We start from the raw sequence: 20,737 nt of genomic DNA on the forward strand, positions 1-20,737 counted from the left end.
CCTGTAATCCCAGCTACTCAGGAGGCTGAGGCAGGAGGATTGCTTGAACCCAGGAGGCGGAGGTTGCAGTGAGCCGAGATCACGCCACTGCACTCCAGCCTTGGTGGCAGAGTGAGACTCTATCTCAAAAAATTAAAATTAAAATTAAAAAAAAAACCCATATAATTCTTGGACCTTTATAACCACGCAGTTTTATTTTGCTAATTTTACATCAGTCCTACCGACTTTAGTTAAATTCATTTAGTTGCTTGGAAAAGAGCTCTCTCAAGATAACCTGGATCGGCCGGGCACAGTGGCTTACGCCAGTAATCCCAGCACTTTGGGATTTCACTTCTGATCACTTGAGGTCAGAAGTTTGAGATCAACCTGGCCAACGTGGTGAAACCCCATCTCTACTAAAAAAAAAAAAAAAGCAAAAATTAGCCGGGCATGGTGGTGCATGCCTGTAGTCCCAGCTACTCGGGAGGCTGAGGCAGGAGAATTGCTTGAACCCAGGAGGTGGGAGTTGCAGTGAGCTGAGATGGTGCCACTGCACTCTAGCCCAGGTTACAGAGGGAGACTCTGTCTAAAAAAAAAGGTAGCCCAGATCATTTTTTTGCCCCAGGCCGAGATGGTGCCACTGCACTCCAGCCTGGGTGACAGAGGGAGACGCTGTCTCAAAAGAAAAGCCCAGATCTTCTTAGGGTAGCTTTTCATGGGCCAAGTGCCCACCCTAGTCCAATCACCTGTGGGCACAGAATGGACTGGCGTTATGTGATAGAAGATGCTGCTGCCTCAGGCCTGCCTTGTCAGCAGCTATAAGCAGGGCAGCTTCTTGTAGAAGGGGTTGTGGCCATGTTAGACAATGTCCTTGGCCTGCTTAATTTAATATTATAATCAAAATAAAATAAGTAAATCATCAGGGAGGCGGCTGAAAGTAATGGAAAATAGAATTTAACAACAAAGAGTTTGTGGTTCAGTTTTCAGCTCTGGAACTTAGTAGCCGTGTGACTTGGAGCAACTTTGAGCCTCAAATTTCTGTTGAGGGATTTATAAGGGTTAAATGAAATGATACACATGAAAACACTTTGTCAACTATGAAGCACCACACCCACGTAAAGCATATTATATTACCTCCTGTAAGTCCCTCGAAGCATAAAATATTCCATTTGTAGGATTTTTGGATATCCCTTTCTAAATTGAATGTCACTTTCCGGCACAAAGCTTGTACCTCTGGTTTCAGATGACTACCCCTTGTTGTCAGAATCTGCAGAAATAGCCCAGAGAGCTCAAGGTTGTTACCCTTTACACATAGCTGACCCAAACTGCATTATTCCTAGAGTGCTTTGTTCAGAGAGAATAAGTTGTTAGCATTGGCATTCCTTTGAGTCCTCTGACCCAAACTCCCTTTATGTGCAGATGAGGAACCAAGGCTTAGAGAGGTTAATTGACTTCCTCAATGTCACTGATAGTACCAGAGTAACGCTCACTCAATTATCTATTGCTCCCTAACAAATTACTTCAAAACTTAGAGACTTAAAACAATATTTATTATGTAGTAGTTTCTGTGGGTCAGAAATCCAAGATTGGCTTTGCCTGGTGTTTCTGGCCCAGGGTTTCTTGTGAGGCGGTAGTCAAGGTGTTGCTTGGAGCTGCAGGCATCTGGAGGTTTGACTGGGGCTAGATCTGCTTCCAAGGTGGCTCCCTCACATGGCTGTCAGCAGGCGGCCTCAGTTTCTCACCTTGCGGACCTCTCTCTAGGGCTGCTTAAATGTCCTCACGACACGGTGGCTGGCTTCCCCCGGAGTGAGTGATTTAGTAGAGAACAAGGAGGAAGCAGCAATGCCTTTTATCCCCTAGTTTCAGAGGTCACGCATCAACACTTCCGTCATATTCTACACATTCGAAGTAGTCACTAAACCCAGCCCACACTCAAGTAGAGGAGAGAGGAATTCAATTCCACCAATCCCTGAAGGGTGAGGTATTAAAAAAATTTACGGACTTTTTTTTTTTTTTTGAGACGGAATCTCACTCTGTCCCCCAGGCTGGAGTGCGGTGGCGTGATCTCGGCTCACTGCAAGCTCCGCCTCCCAGGTTCTCACCATTCTCCTGCCTCAGCCTCCCGAGTAGCTGGGACTACAGGCACCCATCACCACGCCCAGCTAATTTTTTATATTTTTAGTAGAGACGGGGTTTCACTGTGTTAGCCAGGATAGTCTCGATCTCCTGACCTCTTGATCCGCCCACCTCGGCCTCCCAAAGTGCTGGGATTACAGGTGTGAGCCACCGCGCCCGGCCTTGTGGACATATTTTCAAAACACCACAGGTTTCTTTTAATGTGGCATTTTCTTTATAAATGAGTTTCCATCAGAAATCAGCAGGTTTTTTTTTTTTATTACTTGATGAAAGATAATTCTCATTCGGCAGTAATTAGTAGAAGAGAAATTAATTTATAAGGATGTCTTCTCAGGATAATATTGAGAAAACCTCTAATGTGAACAAAAGGGTAAAACAGGGAGAGAACAGTATAAGAAAAGAAAGACAAGGGAAAAACAGAAGCAAGGGTGCATTAGATTCTGACTTCTGTGGGCAGAGTTTTCTTTCAATTCAGGAAACACTGAGTGAACAGATGCTATGTGAATCATGTCTAGGGGCAGGGGTTTGAAGGTACAAAGCCTCTAGGTACCCCAACTCTAGTTGCAGAGCATGACCCATATATGTAACTAGCCCAAATATAAATAACATGGAAGCTTACATTAAATTCTGTCATGAAGTTACCTAAGCTTATGTTAAATACTGTAATAAAGGAAACTGTCATGTGTGTTGGGAACATGAAGGAAGGAAACAATTCAGTAGCTGTGGGGTTTGTAAAGCCTTGCAGAAGATATGCAAACCACTCCATTACCATACATGCACACTGGCACTTTTCATATCCTTTCCTTGCTTTATTTTTCCCTTCAATACTTATCACAAGGGGGCCAGGTGCAGTGGCTCATGCCTGTAATCCCAGCACTATGGGAGGCCAAGGTGGGCAGATTACCTGAGGTCAGGAGTTCGAGACCAGCCTAGCCAACATGGCAAAACCCTGTCTCTACTAAAAATACAAAAATGAGTCAGGCGTGGTGGTGGGTGCCTGTAATCCCAGCTACTTGGGAGGCTGAGACAGGAGAATCACTTGTACCCGGGAGGCGGAGGTTGCAGTGAGAGGAAATTGCACTACTGCCCTCCAGCCTGGGCGACAGAGCTCCATCTCAAAACAAAACAAAACTATCTATATCGATACATCTATATCGATATAGATACAGATATATCTATGTATATCTATATATCTATATAGATATAGATATAGATCTCACTATGTAACATCTTGATTATTTTGTCATTATCTTGATTACATCCTCAAGAATACAAACTCCATGAGGGCAAAAGTGTTTGTTGTGTTCAGTGCTGTATCCCCAGGGCCTAAAGGAGTGCCTGGCACATAATAAGCACTTTGTAAGTATTGTTCAATGAATCAGTAAGATAATTAATCAATTAGTATGGAAACTGAGCTCAATCCTAAAGGGGCAGGACAACTTGGCAGATGTGGACTGGAGGGTAGGGTGCTCTAGGCAGAAGGGAAGCTGACCAAAGCCACTGTGTGGCTGGGCCTGCAGACTGTAGTTGCTGTGGAATAAGGTGAGATCAGAAAGGCAGGTACTAGAGGATGTTTGTGAAGGAGTTAGGATTTTGTTGTACACAAAGGGAGCCCACTTAAATTTTAAGGCCAGGAGTGATATCCATGCTTTTTCTCTATGATCTTGCTGCATTTAAGAATATGTGATACCAGGAAGGTTCCCACAATTCCTATATTACCTAACATTTGATTTGCTACACATTGACCAATAATCCTACCTCTTTTACTGTAGCAGCTAGCTCTTCACTCTTCGTTTGCTCTTTTTTTGTATAGGAAATGTAAAACCCTCTAAATATTGAGGTCTCTTATGTTCTTCCTCCTTTGCTGGCGAGCCTGAGGTCAACATTAGACCCTGGGAAATTCAGTGGCATTGGTAGTGGCTGTAACACAGTAGTTTTATGCCTAGGGAATGAATCATAAATTTATTGCTATAATTTCAAGGGTCCCTGATGTGTAGGGTATTTTTCTTTTCTCAAATCTTATATGCTGAGATTTTTTTTCAAGAATCCATTTCATTGCTGCTGGCAGCAACTGTAGGCAGTGTGGGAAGCTCACACAGGGACATGACTGTCCTAGAGCCCAGGGGTGAGGGACCTCTGCTTCCTGCCCTTTGCTAGAAGAGATGGAGTCTCTAGGCTGGGTCTCAACAACCTCAACCCAGAGGCCAGGGCAGGGGGTTGGGCCCCACCTGCTGTGAGGGGGCTATCCCACCTTAATTGTGGATGTCTCATGTAACCTCTGTTCAGCGTCCCCATTAAGGAAGGTATGGGATGCTGGCTGAGACTTTATGATGCAGCCTCACCTTGATGATGCTTCTTTGATGTCCTAGAGAGCCCAGACCTCTCTAAAGGAACATTATTTTAGATAAGGACAGCAACCGTCTTAACTCTGAAATCTCTCAGCCCAAGCTCAGAACATAACCCCACCCACACGTGACTGAGAAAAGAGATGCATTATGGTTGAGAAAGCAGAGATCACACATAGGAATTTTTTCCGTAAGTCGTCTCCCTTTTTCTAGTTCCCTTAATATAAACAGAAGCAACTAGAAAACCTGGAGAGTAACTTACTATGGGAAAGGGAAGGCACTTAGCCACTAATCCCATTTTTAAATACAATGGCCATTTTCAAAAGAAGATAACCACCATTGTCCTTTTTGTTGACAACTCTGTTACTTTGTCAAAGTGCTTAGTGATTAAAAGGCAGTGATATGGCCAGTCTCACCTGTAATCCTGGTAATTTGGGAGGTGGGCAGATCATTTGAGCCCAGGAGTTCAAGACCAGCTCTGGCAACATAGTGAGACCCCCATCTCTCAAAAAAAAAAAAAAAAAAAAAAATTAGCCAGGTATAGTGGCATGTACCTTGTAGTCCCAGCTACTTGGGAGGCTGAGCTGGGGGGATCACTTGAACCTGGCAGGTCAAGACTGCAATAAACCGTGGTCATGCCACTGCACTCCAGCCTGGGTGATAGAGTGAGACCTTATGTCAATAAAAAGAGTGAGAGAGAGAGAAAGAAAGAAAGGCAGACAGTGGTGATTTTAACAGTGACTTCATATGGACTCCAATATAGAAGAGGGTTGTTGTGGAAGCTGGGTTGGGGGTTAGGGAAAGAGAAGTACAAAATCAGAATGCCTCCTTCACCATGGAAACCTTGTACCCTCACAATATAGGGGATGGTCTTAGACCCAAAAGCGCCCAGTGTGGATCCATCTTAGATGCAGCTGAAAGGAGAGAGGGAGTGTCTCGGAAGGATCTCTTGTAGGTCTCAGAGTCTAGTGAAGCCTTTTCAGGGAGATGAGAAGCAGGTGGAGGAGGCTGGTAAAAATGCAGTTTAGGAAGGTCTTAGCTGTGAGAGAACTTCGAGAATACAGAGACATCCTGGCCCATATATGCTGGGGATACATGTCTGTGGGCTTGGGGCAGGTATTTGGGAACTACATTCTGTCCTGGCTGTGAATCCAGAGGCAGAATACTCACACGGATTTGTTGAATGAATGAATGAGCGAATGAATGAACAAAGAACTTGAAGTCAGCCTTAAAGGAGAACTTTCTATGCAGTCTCTTCCTTTTAGAAACCAAATTGGTTTGAAGTCGACCAAAACCCTCCAGAAGGGGTGGTCAAAGCACCGGGAGAGGAGCACCTCTTTTTTAAATTCCATTTTAATTTATTTTAATTTATTTTAAATTTTATTTATTTATTTTTATAGAGGCAAGGATCTCACTGTGTTGCCCAGGCTGGCCTCGAACTTCTGGCCTCAAGCTATCCTCCTGCCTGGGCTTCTCAAAGTGCTGGGATTGTAGGTATAATCCACTGTGCCAGGCCAAAATAATTTTTATTTATTTAGTATTTTTTACAGACAAGGTCTCGCTTGGTCATCTAGGCTGGAGTGCAGTGGCACAATCGTAGCTCACTGCAGCCTCCAACTCCAGGGCTCAAGCAATCCCCCCACCTCAGCCTCCTGAGTAGCTGGTTCTACAGGCTCATACCACCATGCCAACTAATTTTTTTATTTTTGTAGAGGCAGGGCTGTGTTGCCTGGGCTGGTCTTGAACTCTTGGCCTGAAGCAATCCTCCTGCCTGGGCCTCCCAAAGTGCTAGGGTTATAGGGCATGAGCCACCATGCCCAACCTGTACCCAGAGTGACTGTCTCTAGATTGGAATCCAATATATTGCCTGTAGCTAAAGTCCCAGGAGAGCAGGAAGGGAGAAAGGATATCTGATGGTTACAATGTGGCTCCCCTGTCATGATGCTGGTTATGGTTGTGCCCCTCCCCACCCCCCAGCTACCCCCTTACCCCTATGTATACCAAACCTTTTGGCTCAAGCAGGGGACTCTCTTTTTTTTCTCTTACATGTACCAAACATGTTGTGAGGTTGATACTACCGACCATCTCCATAGCTAAGAGCTCATTCTTCTCCCTGTTTGCTAAAATGGGGGCATAGGAGCCTTCTCACAGGGGCAATTTCCAGGTTTTCTATAACTTGCCCAAGTGTTCCTCCAGGTTCTGATTTTTCCTAAAGATAAAAAGAAATTTGCTCTCCATCTAAGCACTGCCACAAGGAACTCTCAGCGAGTGTGGTTGGTATTCCCAAGGGCCTAAGTTTTCATCACCAAGTCCTTGTTCACTTTCTTTTTTATAATATTTTGTCCAGGACATATTTCAAGTCAAGCTGGCTCTCTCTAGCTACCAAACTCATAACTACAGGGGAAGGGGTACAGGAAAGAAAGAACTGTAAAAATTTATAAGATAAGTAGAACTTTCTCTGCTTTCTCTGAAACTATCTGGCTGCTCTCAATCCATATTGGTATGGTTGACTTATATTTAAAGGAGGATAAAATTGCCCTCTCTTCCCAGTTTTTGGAGGGTCTGCCATCTTGACTTTGTATTTTGCCATAGCTATTAAATCTTAAATCTAGCCCAAATATTCTAATGGGACCTACATTTTAATTATCTCCCATACTATCTAGCCCCCATCTCTTACAGCTATCAAATGGAAGGCAAAACTGTCCAATTCTTCTGAACCCTCTCTGCTCAGCACCACTGAGCCATTCAGCAGGAAAATGGGACAGAAGGTCTAGAAGGGAGTATTCCATGTGACCTCAGTGGCTCAATCACACCAAATAATAACAACAGCCATTAAGTAGGTATCAAGTGTTCACATGCATTATAATCTTTTTGTTTTATTTTGTTTGAGATGGAGTTTCACTCTTGTTGCCCAGGCTGGAGAGCAATGGTGCAATCTCAGCTCACTGCAACCTCCACCTCCTGGGTTCAAATGATTCTCCTGCCTCAACCTCCCAAGTAGCTGGGATTACAGGCATGTGCCACCACGCCCGGCTAATTTTTGTATTTTTAGCAGAGATGAGGTTTCATCATCTTGGCTAGGCTGGTCTCATACTCCTCACCTCAGGTGATCTGCCTGCCTCAGCCTCCCAAAGTGCTGGGATTATAGGCATGAACCACCGTGCCTGGTCCCATGCATGATAATCTTTAATTGAAACAGCAGCCCTATTAAGTTGGTACTTATCTTAATCTTTTTGAATGAGGAACTGAACTGAGTGTTCTAATATTATTGACGAGGAACTGAAGCTTAGAAAGAGAACTTATATCTTTAACATTTCTACAGTAACACAGCTAACAGCTAGTCAGTGGTGGAACTTGAATTCAAACTCAGGGCTGCTGAGTTCAAAACCCAGATTATAAATCACCATGATGTAGTCTATAAGCTCCTAGACTTACCAATTCCCTCAGCCTCCTCTATCTTGCCACTGCCAACTGAAACACAGATTATGGACTAGAAATACTGACTTTTTTTTAAGGAAAGAAAACCCCAAGAAGCCAACACACACACACACACACACACACACACATAATCACACACACACATAATCTCACACACACACAATCACACACACACACACACAAAATCTCACACACACATACACGGGTCCTTCTGACTAATGCCAAACACAGAGCTCTGGGATGCCTTATTGTTGAAACAATGCCATAAAATAGGAGAAAAGTGATAAAACTAAGAAGCCACTCTAAAAATGACTATTCAGTAAGCCAAATAGGGAATACTGTTTTATTTTAGTTTTATAGTATATACATATATACACAAAAGTTTTATAATATATACATATATACACACAAGCCATCCAAAATATGTCCTTCTCACCGCTTCAGTGTTAAAATGTGTAAGATGAACAAAATTAGTCCCAGGAAGGGGACATCACTGTAGAAATCACTGTGAAAGAATGTGAGAGAGGTGGGGAATTGAGAGTTGTACTTGACCTCCAAAAGCAGGAAAGACAGGGTCTGGAGAGGAAAAGGGAAACAATTGAGATGGAACATTGCCCATCCATGGAAATCCAGAGGCAGAAATGGCCAGGACACATTTGGGGCACCCTCAAGAGATCAAGCAGATAAAATACACAGACAAGTAGTGGAAGCTGGGGTTGAAGAAGTGGGTGGGGAAGTGTTATGAAGGGCTTTGAATGCCAGGACAAGGATGGCAGAGCCCATGTAAATTCTGAAATAAGAGAGTGTTATGAGAAGAATGGACAGTGGGAGAGACCAGTTAATGAGGAGACACCTGCAGAAATGGAGAGGCAGGTGATGAACACCTGGATGAGCATAGGGGCTTCCAAGAGACAAAGGAAAGACTTAATAGCTTTGCAGGACTAAGTGATAGATCAGACATAAGGGGTAGAGAAAAGAGTCTCTCTCAAATGACTACAGTTTCTCCAAAAATATTTTGAGATTGGGATGGACAGGTAGTTCATCTGGGCTGAGCTATAGTGGAGGGAGCCGGAAGGGAGGAAGAGGAAGAGGCCTGGTACAGGGTAAGGGAAAGAGAATCTGCAAGACTGGGCCCCGATGCTACCTAGTTTTGTGATCAGATCCCATTACTTGCCCTAGTCTCTGCTTTCTCATTTCTAAAATTAGGAATTTCATCCAGGAAACATGTATTGGGCCCCCAATATGTGCCACCTACTGTATGCAATTTTTTTTGTCTTATATTTCCTCTGAGGGCTGGTGGTTGCCCTAGCCAGTGTAGTATGAGTCTCTTTGGGACCAGTCTTCTGATCAAGGAACCCAAGCACGTGTTTCCTTTAGAAAAGCCTAGCTTTTGCTTCCCTCTAGTGGCTACTTAGTGCCACTAGACCTCTGCCTTTACTCTTTTTGTCCCTGGAGAGCCAGTCTGAATTGAAAATTAAGAAGTTAAGACCAGGCGCAGTGGCTCACGCCTGTAATCCCAGCACTTTGGGAGGCCGAGGTGGGCAGATCATGAGGTCAGGAGATCGAGACCACCCTGGCTAACACGGTGAAACCCCGTCTGTACTAAAAATACAAAAAATTAGCCGGGCGTGGTGGTGGGCGCCTGTAGTCCCAGCTACTCGGGAGGCTGCGGCAGGAGAATGGCATGAACCCGGGAGATGGAGCTTGCAGTGAGCCGAGATCGCACCACTGCATTCCAGCCTGGGTGACAGAGCAAGACTCCGTCTCAAAATAAATAAATAAATAAATAAAAAGTTAAGATGGAGCTGGATCATAAACCATGCACATGTTCAAGGGAACAGTACAAAGTGTTCCCTAGAGGGCATGTCATGATGGTTGGTATCCAGAGAGGATGGTGAGAGGAGGAGACAAAGGAGGCATGATGTCATGAACCAGAGGTGAGGCATGGGGAAGCAGTCAGTCCCAAAGCAAAACCAACCAACAATAGCAGATGGGAGCAGAAAATCACATTAGGACTCACCCAGTAAGTGGGTTAACCTGAGCAAATGGAAAGTATGGGGTCATAGATAAAGGCCTGTCTTTACACTGAAGAAGGTAAGGTCAGGGATAAGGGGAAACCCTAACAGTAATTTGCTGAGGGCAAAAACTTGACATGAAGATGCTTTAAGATGCTGGGAACCCTTTCCGTTGCTGATACCAATTCTACTCATTGCTGGGCACATGTGCTGGATCTGGGGTGGTGCCAGCACAGCTGGAGATGGGCTCATGTTGGTGGTGCTCAGCAACTGACCTAGAAAGAGGCAGATGCTCGAGGGTCCTGCTGGCTCCTAGCTAAGCGGGCGTGAAGATGTTATTGACTGTTGCAGCCAAGGGAGGGCTCACAAACTAACAAGATAAACAGCTCTGAGAAGACACAACCACAGCAGTAGCAAGTGGAGCAATGGACTGAGGCAGCACTGGTAAGAGCCAATCACTTTCTGAGGGACCCCATTCCCCAACCCTGGGCCAGCATCCCTCATTTCTCCTGTTGTCACATTCAGCATGCATACACGTGATGTGTGTCTCCTTAGAGACTGTAAGCATGGTGCAGGTAGGGACATCACAGCTGTCTCCCTGACTGCTGTATGCCCCATGCCCAGCACAGCAGCTGGCTGGTGAAGAAGAATAAGTGCATGGATGAGGAGGCTGGACTCATTAGGCTTGGAGTCCTGCCTTTGCAGTTAGCTATTAGGATGCAATCTTTAGCTAGTCATTTTACCTCTCTGAGCCTCAATTTCCTCATCTATAAAATTGGATGATAATGCCAACCTTATGAGATCTATGAGGGTCAGATGATGTCTATGAAATAGTTTATAAACTATAAAGGGCCATACAGATGTTAATTATTATCTTAGTCTGCCTGAGGATGAAAAATTAACAAGATGTCTGCTGACATTTCTTCTGGCCTGAGAGACAGTGACCAGGAGTATTTGCTTTCTGAATCAAAGCATTTAGAATGCGCTGTTTCTTCTGAACACGAATCTGTAAGTCACCCCGCTCCCAGCCAGACCCCTTACAGAGGCAGGTTGTTCCCCTCTCAGGTGCTCCGCATGTGCCCTCTTCCCATCTCCAGTCCTGGCAGACAGGCTGCCCGTCCCCAGATTACCTAACAATAATTAGACCAACCAGAGTTTCCTGGTCAACCAGAGGAGAGCTTGGCCTCTTTCCAGGAATTAGTTTGCCAGGTTTCTATGTGTGACTGGATACCTTGACCTCCACCCTACAACCACAGTGTAAATAAACATGTATTATCTACCCTGATTTGGCAACCAGTTCCAAGAATTCTCTTCCCAGTCTGATTCCAATCTGTTGTTTCTCTAGGATGCCCAGTATAGGAAGAGCAGAAAGTCACATCCGTGGCCCTACAAAGGGAAATTATAGCCTAAATTTAGGGTACTAAATCTTTGAACCGTGGGTTTGGGAATAGTTTACTATTTTTTTCTTTCTAGTCTGCCAGATTATCTCAAGATATGTCATTAAGGGTGCTTTGGAAATTGATTTATTTTTGTTTGTTTGTTTTTTGAGATGGAGTTTCACTCTTGTCGCCCAGGCTGGAGTGCAGTGGTGCAATCTCTGCTCACTGCAACCTCCGCCTCCCAGGTTCAAGTGATTCTCCCACCTCAGCCTCCCAAGTAGCTGGGATTGCAGGCGCCCGCCACCATGCCCGGCTAATTTTTGTATTTTTGGTAGAGACAGGGTTTCACCATGTTGACCAGGCTGGTCTCGAACTCCTGACCTCAGGTGATCTGCCTACCTCGGCCTCCTGATGTGCTAGGATTACAGGCGTGAGCCACCGCGCCCAGCCCTGGAAATGGATTTCTACTCCCTCGACACAAGATATCAGTGCAAGAAAACACATCTCAAGTGCATGCCAAGTTATGATTACTGGATAAACAATATATAACATCTATTAAGCATGTAATGCATATCAGGGTTTACCTGTGTTAATGTAATCCTTCCAATAACTCTATATGGCAGGAATTAATATGATTCCTACTTTACAGATAAGGAAAATGAGCCAAAGAGAGACTAATTAACTTGCTCCAGATGATACAGATAGTAGCGATTGAGACAGATTCAAACCTAAGCAGTCTAGCTCCAGACCCAGTAATCCACAGAAAGGGAAATGGTTACCCACATCTGAATAACTGAGGTTTGATGACATTTTGCACTTCTGTGAAAATCGTCTCTGGTCTTTGGCCTGGTTTCCTCTGAAGCTCAGTTTTCCAGTGTTGCACAGTCCATACAGTAGACAATTTGCAGGAATGCCTGGGGCTTTCAGAGAAGCCCGTAACTTCTTCTCTCTCTCTAACCATGAATTGCTCTTTTTGATCAGGTTTCACCCAGCCACCTCTCCTCCCTCTTCTATAGGTAGCCTTGGGATTTTCAGAATCATGTCTATGAGCTCTTTCCTCCTTCCAAAGCTATAGGGTGTGTTGCAGGAAATGCCTTCCTGTGCAAGCACAATCAAAACAGCAGTATAGACAGCCTCAGTTAAGCACAAAGGAGCCAGGAGATGCCTCCCTGTAGACAGGACAGTTGGACAGTTACCTCCAGCCTGAGGGTCAGTGTTGCAGAGGCAAAGTTGCCAGTGGGTTAATCCTCCCAGCCGCATCTCTATTGACAACTTGTGTGGGTTCCCCAGGGGCAATGAGATGAAGATAGAAGGGAGAATAAATACCAGTTGCTACTACTGCCTCTTCTTTCCCCGAGGAGAGTATGGCTCTGCCCTTCTCACCCAAACTTGAGTCAGTGTCTAGTTAGATGTTCTCTGAAGCCTAGGCAGGGAGTACAGAGATAAAGAACAGGCACAGGCCAGGCACCGTGGCTTACGCCTGTAACTCTAGCACTTTGGGAGGCCAGGGTGGGAGGATCACTTCAGCCCAGGAGTTCGAGACCAGCCTGGGTAACATGGCGAAACCCCATCTCCACTAAAAATACTAAAATTAGCCAGGTTTGGTGGCATGCGCCTGTAATTCCAGCTACTTGGGAGGCAGAGGCAGGAGAATCACTTGACCTGGGAGGTGGAGGTTTGAGAAGCCCCTGTGAATTAAGTTGGGGTTTTTAGTAGGCTACATGCTCAAAGGAAGCCAGCAGCACAACTTGACCAAAAGGCCCTCAGATTACATTCTCCTTTTTCAGGGTTGTTGTTCCATTTTCTGGAAAATTTCCTTGACATTATCTTGCAACTCATCTATGAAATGTCTCATTTCAGCCATAACATTTTTAACTTCTGAGAGCTCTTTCTCACTCTACAACTTTTTCCCTTTATGTAACAGCTTGTTCTTTTTTCATGGATACAATATCCTCTCTTATCTTTCTGAGGATTTTATAGTGTTACTGATGTTTTATTGTCCTGCTTGCATTTTGTTTCCTCTGAGTTCCTGGTCCTTTTTCTGTTTATTTATTTTGGTCTCTGTTAGAGAGGTTTTTCTGAAAAGTCTGGTAATCTATAGCTGAATATTCACATTTATGACTGAGGCACAAAGGCTGACTCAATATTCTGTGTAAAGGAAGGAACTTGTTGACTTAAAGTTCTCACTGTGAAGTGATCTGGCAGGACACTGGAGGTTTTGGGAGCAGAGAGGGATCTCTAAGTGTCAGTATTTGAGTATCTGTACATCTTTTGGTTTCTCCCATGAATGATTCTAAAATCTCCCTAACATGTTTATATGTGGCTGCTAGCATTCTGGGATCCAAGAGGGACAAGGATACTAGCCATCTCTCCATTCTACATTTAAGCCTTCACTGAATTTCATTTTTCAGGAAAGTGCGCATAGGATAGAAGAGGGATCTAGGAGTCCCATCTTCCTGTTTTAGCCCCACCTGTAGGTCCATCCTCAGTGCCGTCTGGTGCTTCCACTCCCTGGGGCTGTCTGAGGGTTGAGCAGAGATAACTGGCAGGAGCTTGAATCTCATCTTCTCATTCTACCAAGTCAGTATCATTCTTGCATCTGCTTTCTATCATTAAAGAAAAAAAAAAGTTCTCAGCCCGGCGCAGTGGCTCACGCCTGTAATCCCAGCACTTTGCGAGTCCGAGGTGGGCGGATCACGAGGTCAGGAGAATGGCGTGCACCCGGAAGGCAGAGCTTGCAGTGAGCGGAGATCGCACCACTGCACTCCAGCCTGGGTGACAGAGCGAGACTCTGTCCCAAAATAAATAAATAAATAAATAAATAAATAAATAAATAAATAAATAAATAAAGTTATCTTGTTTACTACCTCCCATTCTCTTTGTTCTTGTGGATTTGTGTCTCCCCCCACTAACACCTTATGTTGTTTTTGTCAGGTTTAGGAATTCATGGAGATATAGTCACATGATTAAAGGGCAAGATAAATTTGGTTGAAAGGGGCTGAGAAAAAAAAATTAACAGTTATCTGTAAGATACTAATAGGAATAGGTGGGCAGCCAATGGGAGACACCTCTCAGACATTGTAACTAGGCATCTCAGTTATATATCAGGCAATAATTCATGGAATTTATTCACTCGCGCATTCAACAGATATTTATCACCTGCTGTGTGCCAGGCATTGCTCTAAACTCGGGAGATAGGACCATGAGCAAGACGGAATGCTCTGCTCTTCTGTATCTTACATAGGATAAGAGTAACACATAATTTATGTAAACAAGGCAACACATTAATGATAAGTGCTCAAGAAAATTCAGTAGCACTGTGTGTTAGAGATTCAATATAGAAACTACTCTATTTATCAAATATTAAAACTGGAAGCAGCCCTGGAGTCCAATTTCCTCATCTTAAAAATGAGGAAATTTAGGTATGAAGAAGGGAAGGGGTTTGCTGAGTGTCATACATGGGTAAAACCTGCACCAGCACCAAGGCCTCCTGATTCCCACTCCTGCATTCTTCCCACTATTAATTACTATGCAATTCACAAGACCTGCAAGACCAGGGGACCATGGTGCTCATTTACACACCATGGGAAACAACTAAACCAAACAGCTCCTTCAGTTGCAGTTAGTAGAAGCCACAGTTCCAGCAAGCAAAGATAAAGTAAATTGTAAGCTTTAGCCTCTTAATTGGACCTGGCAGCTCCATGGGCTTCCAACATACAAACTGATGAAATCCCAGAGCTCCACGACAATGTTCCTAAATGCCCAGACATTGCTTTACACATTTGCTAAAAAAAAAATTATAATCAATTCAAGATAAAAGCACAGCACTAAGCTCTTTTAATGGAACCTAGTTTCTGGAGAAGCCTTCAGAGTTTTATAGTAGGGCGAGGACAGAAGTTTAGTAGAGGAAGGATTTGAAGCAGCTATACTAAAGCATCATCAGCAATTTGGGGCTTTCCTGAAGCTTCTATAGTGGCCCTAGAGCAAAATTGGAAACTGTCTATCCGCTCCCCCATTTCTCCCCTCAAAGTGTTACACCTCCTTGAAATATTTGCATTTTTCCCCATTACCTTTGTTGATTTGTTTTAGAGATTGTTATTGTTGATGTTATCATTACTTTCATTATAAAGCAGCACTTATGTGAGAAACACTGGGCAATACTGGAGATCAGAAAGCCAGAGGGAAAATTACCCAGAGTGCACCACCCAACAATACCAGTGTTAACATTTCAACGAATTTTCCTTCTGTTTCCTATGAATAGGGTTGCTAAGTTGTTGATGATGTTCACACAGTTATATATACAACTGTACGTCTTGTCCTCTTAAAAAATTTTTTACTTTATATAAGTATTTAAGCTATTACAAAGCTTTATAAATAATCTAATGGCTGCATAATTAATTACTCACTTAGTAGATATATCATAATTATTTAACCATTCCCTTCCTGTTAGGTTTTTTAAGTAATTTCAACTTCCATGTTAGATTCAAGGGTTACACATGCAGTTTTGTCACCTAGGTATATTGTGTGATGCTGAGGTTTTGGGTACAAATGATCCCGTCACCTAGATAGTGAGCATAGTACCCAATAGGTAGCTTTTTAACCCTCATCCACTTCCCACTGGGTAGATTTTTATATTTTAGTATTGGGGCAGGGGGGCGGTGATGTTATTGTTGTAAAATTTTCTTCATTTGAAAAAATGCTATTATGAGCATTTTCATGCTTAAAGTACAGCTGCATGTCACTTGTGTGGTGCATCTCATCTTTTTGCATTTGGAAGGGAATCATAGTCTGGTTTGAGGTGTTTCATGTTAAGGGACATTACCTAATTAAATGAAATCACTTTCTGATGGAGGAATTCCAGGCATTAGCAGCAGGTGCAGGGAGTGTTGAGGGGAGGAGAGAAAGACAGTTTTTGCACAGGAGTTGGCAGGACTTCACGGTGCCCTTGAAACTGTGCCAAGTAGATATGCTCCAGCTTTACATTTTTTGCCAGCCAGCTCTGGCCTCCTGTGAGGCTGTTCATATGTAGATGTTAATTCATGTGAACTTGGTGCCTAAGGCTGGCTAAGAGTTGTGGAGGAATCAGATGATCAGATGGAAGAAGTTGCAGGGCAGGCAGCCAGGGGAGGAAGAGGAGGTCGGACTTATCTGATGGGCGCTCTTGGGCACAGCTCCCCCTCTGTCAAGAGTATCAGATCCAAGTGCTCTGCAAGGCAGTGTCAGAAGTCAGTATTCACAGTTAGAAGGCTCAGTTGGCAAGTATTGAGGGCAGGTATCAGATTCTGGGGTAAGGGGGCTTCTTCACATGGAAGCTTCCTGGAAAGCAATGCGGAATGAAGAGGCAAGAGTGAATCCTCATTTTGCATAAGGGATTCCTCGGTCCCACCATGTCTTTGTTTTTATCATAACAGGAAAAGTATGTGCTGATTTGAGGGAGGTCTGAGTCACCTTCCCTAGTGAGCCTCAGGGTCAGTTCTTCTAGTTAGGGCAAAACTCCATGAAGATTACTTTAAAAAAAAGGATTCACTTACATAATAATGTATATGCATATATACAGTTGATACAGTCTGTTACCAAACAACATGCCATCAAAATTGATGTTTAAAATTTCTTCTGTACTCCTTTCCTCCCAAATTTAAATAATAATTCACTAATACCGCCAGAATTTTTTTTTTTCTTTGAGAGGGAGTCTCACTGTGACTCCCAGGCTGGAGTGCAATGGCATGATCTCGGCTCACTGCAACCTCTGCTTCCCAGGTTTGTGCAATTCTCCTGCCTCAGCCTCCTGAGTAGCTGGGAATACAGGTGTGCACCACCACACCTGGCTAATTTTTTGTATTTTTATTAGAAACAGGGTTTCAACATGTTGGCCAGGCTGGTCTGGAACTCCTGACCTCAAGTGATCCACCGCCCTCGGCCTCCCGAAATGCTGGGATTACAGTCACGAGCCACTGCGCCCAGCCCAGAACTTATTTTTTAGACAATCATTTAGCTCTCTCTGCTTAAGGCACTATCCTAGGTGCTTTAATACTATCTCATTTAATCTTCACAACAAGCTGTGAAGTAGATACTGTCATTATCCCCATTTGACAGATGAAGAAATTGAGACAAAGAGGTGAAGTAACTTGCTCCTGGTCACACAGTTGGTGAGGAGCTGCAGAGCCCATGCCCTAAACGAGGCTATGCTGCCTTGGAGAATGGAGCAGAGACACAGAGGTGCACAAATGGAAGCTCTGAAATGACAACAGGAGAATTCTTCAGGGGTCCTGTCCTCACTCTCTGGATGCCATTGGGAAACCATCACAGAATAACTGTGTCTTTTCCATAACATGAGGAAGCTCAAAGGGACAATCTAGCTCACACAGTTTATACAAGAAGGAGGTTCAGTTAATCCCCAAATATTAATCATGTAAAAATAGACCTAAATGAAAATGATCATTTCTGGTGAACGTGAGAACTTTGAAAATGCAGATGGAGTTACAAAGAGTGGTTACGAAATGTCCCTTATGTATGTAGCGGTCCATGCTGGAAAGAAGCCAGCACAGCTATCACTGTGGAGCTGGAGGAAAGTGAGGACAGGAGGAGCTCCTTCTGCCCCTCTGGGAAGCATTGCGGAGGGTGAAGGAGGCCGTGTCCACCCAGGGATTGGTCAGCAGGGGAACAGGCCCCACTGGGAATGGCCAGGACCCAGAAAGGAGAGAGACTGGGAAAGTAAGGACAAGGAGTTGGATGGTGACTCAGCAGCAGGCACTTGGAGGGAAGCCAGGCAGACAATTAGCATCAAGAAGGCTTAGCAGGCCTTAGGCAGGGTTCTAGGGAATTAGGCAGAGAAAATATCTGAGAGCTCCTGGGAAGGGGGCCAAGACTTAGGCATGAAAGGCCAGACAGGGACTCGCTGCTGGAGTGGGAGCATACAGTGAGGGGAGTAAGATGAGAGAAGATTCCAGAAGCAGGGGTACAAGATCAGAGAAGAATCAAAAACATAACCTGAATGCATGCCGAGATTCTGTGCTGCCTACTCAGCTCCCAGCATCTCCCTGAGTAGGAATAACTTTGGTCTTAGAATCTTACCCTACAGCATCCCTGGAGGAGAGGATGGGAGGGACTGTTGCAGGAGCAGCTCTGCCTGACCCCTCAAACCATTTCCCCAGCACCCTCCCTTGTTGGCCATTCTTTGGAATTCGCTTCTTGCCAGGGTAGGGACCTGGTGTAGTATATCTTTTTGATCAAGCCATTGAGGTGAAGTGAACCAGGATATTCATCATCTATTTGAACCATAATGGCTTTTGGGCTGTATCTAAAGCTTGAGCCCGGTTGTCTACAACGTGTGAGCATGGAAGAAATTGCCCATTGATCTTGTTTCCACTTCTTCCTTTGGCTGGACTAGGCAGCCTACAGGAGGCAAACACTGCCATCTAGTGGCGTATCTAGGCTTCTCGCCAGGAACTGTGTCTTGAATTGTAGAGAGACAGAAGCCTGATTTTTATCCTCTCCCGTCCAGCCCATGGGTCTGATTGTAACCCACCCTAGAGGGAAGTGGGTCTTGTATCTGGGTGCCATGCTGGGCTGTTTGCAACTAGAGCTTCAGGCCCCTTCTGCTCTAACAGTCTGCAAAAGGACTACACTCATCCCTGGATTCAACCATGTTGCCCTGAAAGGGCTGCAAGTTGCATCCCCAGCTATGTGTGAGCTTGGCCTCAAGAAGCAACCCTGAGCCCCTGGCGTGGTCGCAGAGGAGCAGCTCTACTGAGGTGCAGAAGCTCAGTGATAGAGAGTCTCTCAGTTAGAAAGAATTTCAGTCATCTAGGCCGGCATTCTACAGAGTCCATTAGCGAGGTGGAATCAAATTAGTGGGATGTCAACAGCAATAGAGAAAAACATAAAATAGAATGTCAGAGTGGAGCTTGTGTTTCAGTGATAAATCTATTCACATGTAGTGTTCCCTGGTCAAAATATGAAGTGTATTTCTTACAGAGCACTTTGGAATCTGAATCCCAGCACTTTGGGAGACTGAAGCGGGAGGATCAGTTGAGCCCAGGAGTTCAAGAAAAACATAGTGAGACCATGTCGCTACAAAAATAAAAATAAAAATTAGCTGAGTGTGGTGGTACACACCTGTACCACCTACTGGGTACACACCGGTCCCAGCTACTCAGCAGGCTGAGGTGGGAGGATCACTTGAGCCAGAGAGGTAGAAACTGCAGTGAGCCAAGATTGCACCACTGCATTCCAGCCTGGGTTTCAGAATGAGACCCTGTCTGGGGGCAGTGGAAGGCATTCCCAGGCCCTAACCCAGGCCTACTGAATCATGATGTGTGATTGAGGGGTGGAGCAAGAGAAGGAACTGCTAGGGAATCTCCATTTTATTAGCTCTCCACATGATTTTTATGTATACTCAATGCCTAACCACTGATATTGACATTTCTGAGCTTGAATTTCCTGATGTATGAGATGGAGATGATAGTACCACCTGGTTATTGTGAGGACCAAGTAGATAATTAATGCAAAGGTATTTTGCTAACTGTAAAAGTACTCTAGAGATTTGAGGTGTTTCCATCCCACAAAATCCTTCTCTCTGTGATGTTTTTAAGGAGGATAGCACCAGGAGAGTGGGGGAGTGAAGACTGCATTTAATGGGACCAGGAGAGTTAAATGGAAAAATATTTTCTTCTGTCTCCTTCCACCTTCTACCTTCTACCTTCTGTCCTGCAGATTTCCTGATCTGATCCCAATGGCAGTCCTATGGGGACGTGGTTAGCACAGACTCCCTGCCCTGTAACTGGTGGTGATGCATATTGCCAACATCAGTCTGATGCATTATTTTAACCGTTTCAAGCCCCCTCTGATATCGAAGTCCCTTTAGTGTAAATCTCTCACAGTCCTGAATGCTGAGCTTTTGGTCCTGGTGGGACTGTTAATTATCTACTCACTGTGGCGTTCACTGTGTATGCCACTGGGCAGAAGCTTCCCAGAATGTGTGTGAAATGGCTACACAACATATTTGGACAAGTGCACTAATATGGCCACTGGTGCAGAAAATTTGGGCCCTGAAGGCTTAAATCAGAGATGCACAGACTGAAGTCGAATTCCTGGAGGTGGTGCAAGGACTTTGCCTCCAAACTGCTTTTGGGGTGAACTTTAGAGGATAACAGGCTACCAAGCTGGGCCTCAGCCTCCTCATTCCTTCCGTTCCCTACCTGTCACTCTGCCTCTAAGTGCAGCTGCTCTTCCAAGAGGGAGACTGTACTTAGTTCTATGAGACAAACTAATAACCGAATGGATTCTCATGGAAATATGAAGCCAGAAGAAAGGGGGGAAGTGGGGCCAAATCCCCAAGGTGAAAAAGTGAGAAGTCTCAGCATTCAGCCAGTAGGGGTTGTTCCTGTCAACCCCTTTTATTGCTTCTGCCCCAGGATCAGTGAATTAGGAAGATGCCAGTGTGGAG

General features: G+C 44.6%; 1 protein-coding gene and 1 long non-coding RNA gene across 27 annotated transcripts in view, besides 2 other annotated features; one reads left to right on the plus strand and one right to left on the minus strand.

Annotated features, from left to right (window-relative positions):
* KALRN (kalirin RhoGEF kinase) overlaps nt 1–20,737 on the plus strand; it is a 692,957-nt gene that overhangs the window by 507,955 nt on the left and 164,265 nt on the right. The window lies entirely within an intron of this gene.
* The window catches only part of LOC105374076 (uncharacterized), a 39,318-nt gene continuing 22,499 nt past the window's right edge, over nt 3,919–20,737 (minus strand). The window contains exons 3-4 of one of the 3 annotated variants that reach the window (XR_001740872.2): nt 13,764–13,898; nt 3,919–4,057 (exon numbers count right to left, since the gene is read on the minus strand). This is a non-coding gene — a long non-coding RNA (uncharacterized LOC105374076). Of the gene's footprint in view, nt 4,058–13,279; nt 13,899–16,522; nt 16,609–20,737 lie in introns of those variants that run through there. The other 2 variants (XR_007096040.1, XR_007096041.1) reach the window with 2 other exon arrangements.
* Nucleotides 4,137–4,306: a silencer, noted in NCBI's record as "fragment chr3:124264307-124264476 (GRCh37/hg19 assembly coordinates)". NCBI's record gives its function as "represses an EF-1alpha promoter that drives an FKBP-Casp9 reporter gene in an ReSE screen in K562 erythroleukemia cells {active_cell/tissue: K562}" and the evidence as "EXISTENCE:reporter gene assay evidence [ECO:0000049][PMID:32094911]".
* Nucleotides 14,367–14,558: a silencer, noted in NCBI's record as "fragment chr3:124274537-124274728 (GRCh37/hg19 assembly coordinates)". NCBI's record gives its function as "represses an EF-1alpha promoter that drives an FKBP-Casp9 reporter gene in an ReSE screen in phorbol 12-myristate 13-acetate-treated (for megakaryocytic differentiation) K562 erythroleukemia cells {active_cell/tissue: K562(+PMA)}" and the evidence as "EXISTENCE:reporter gene assay evidence [ECO:0000049][PMID:32094911]".

Source organism: Homo sapiens, chromosome 3, assembly GCF_000001405.40.
Source record: "Homo sapiens chromosome 3, GRCh38.p14 Primary Assembly".
Lineage (NCBI taxonomy): Eukaryota > Metazoa > Chordata > Mammalia > Primates > Hominidae > Homo > Homo sapiens.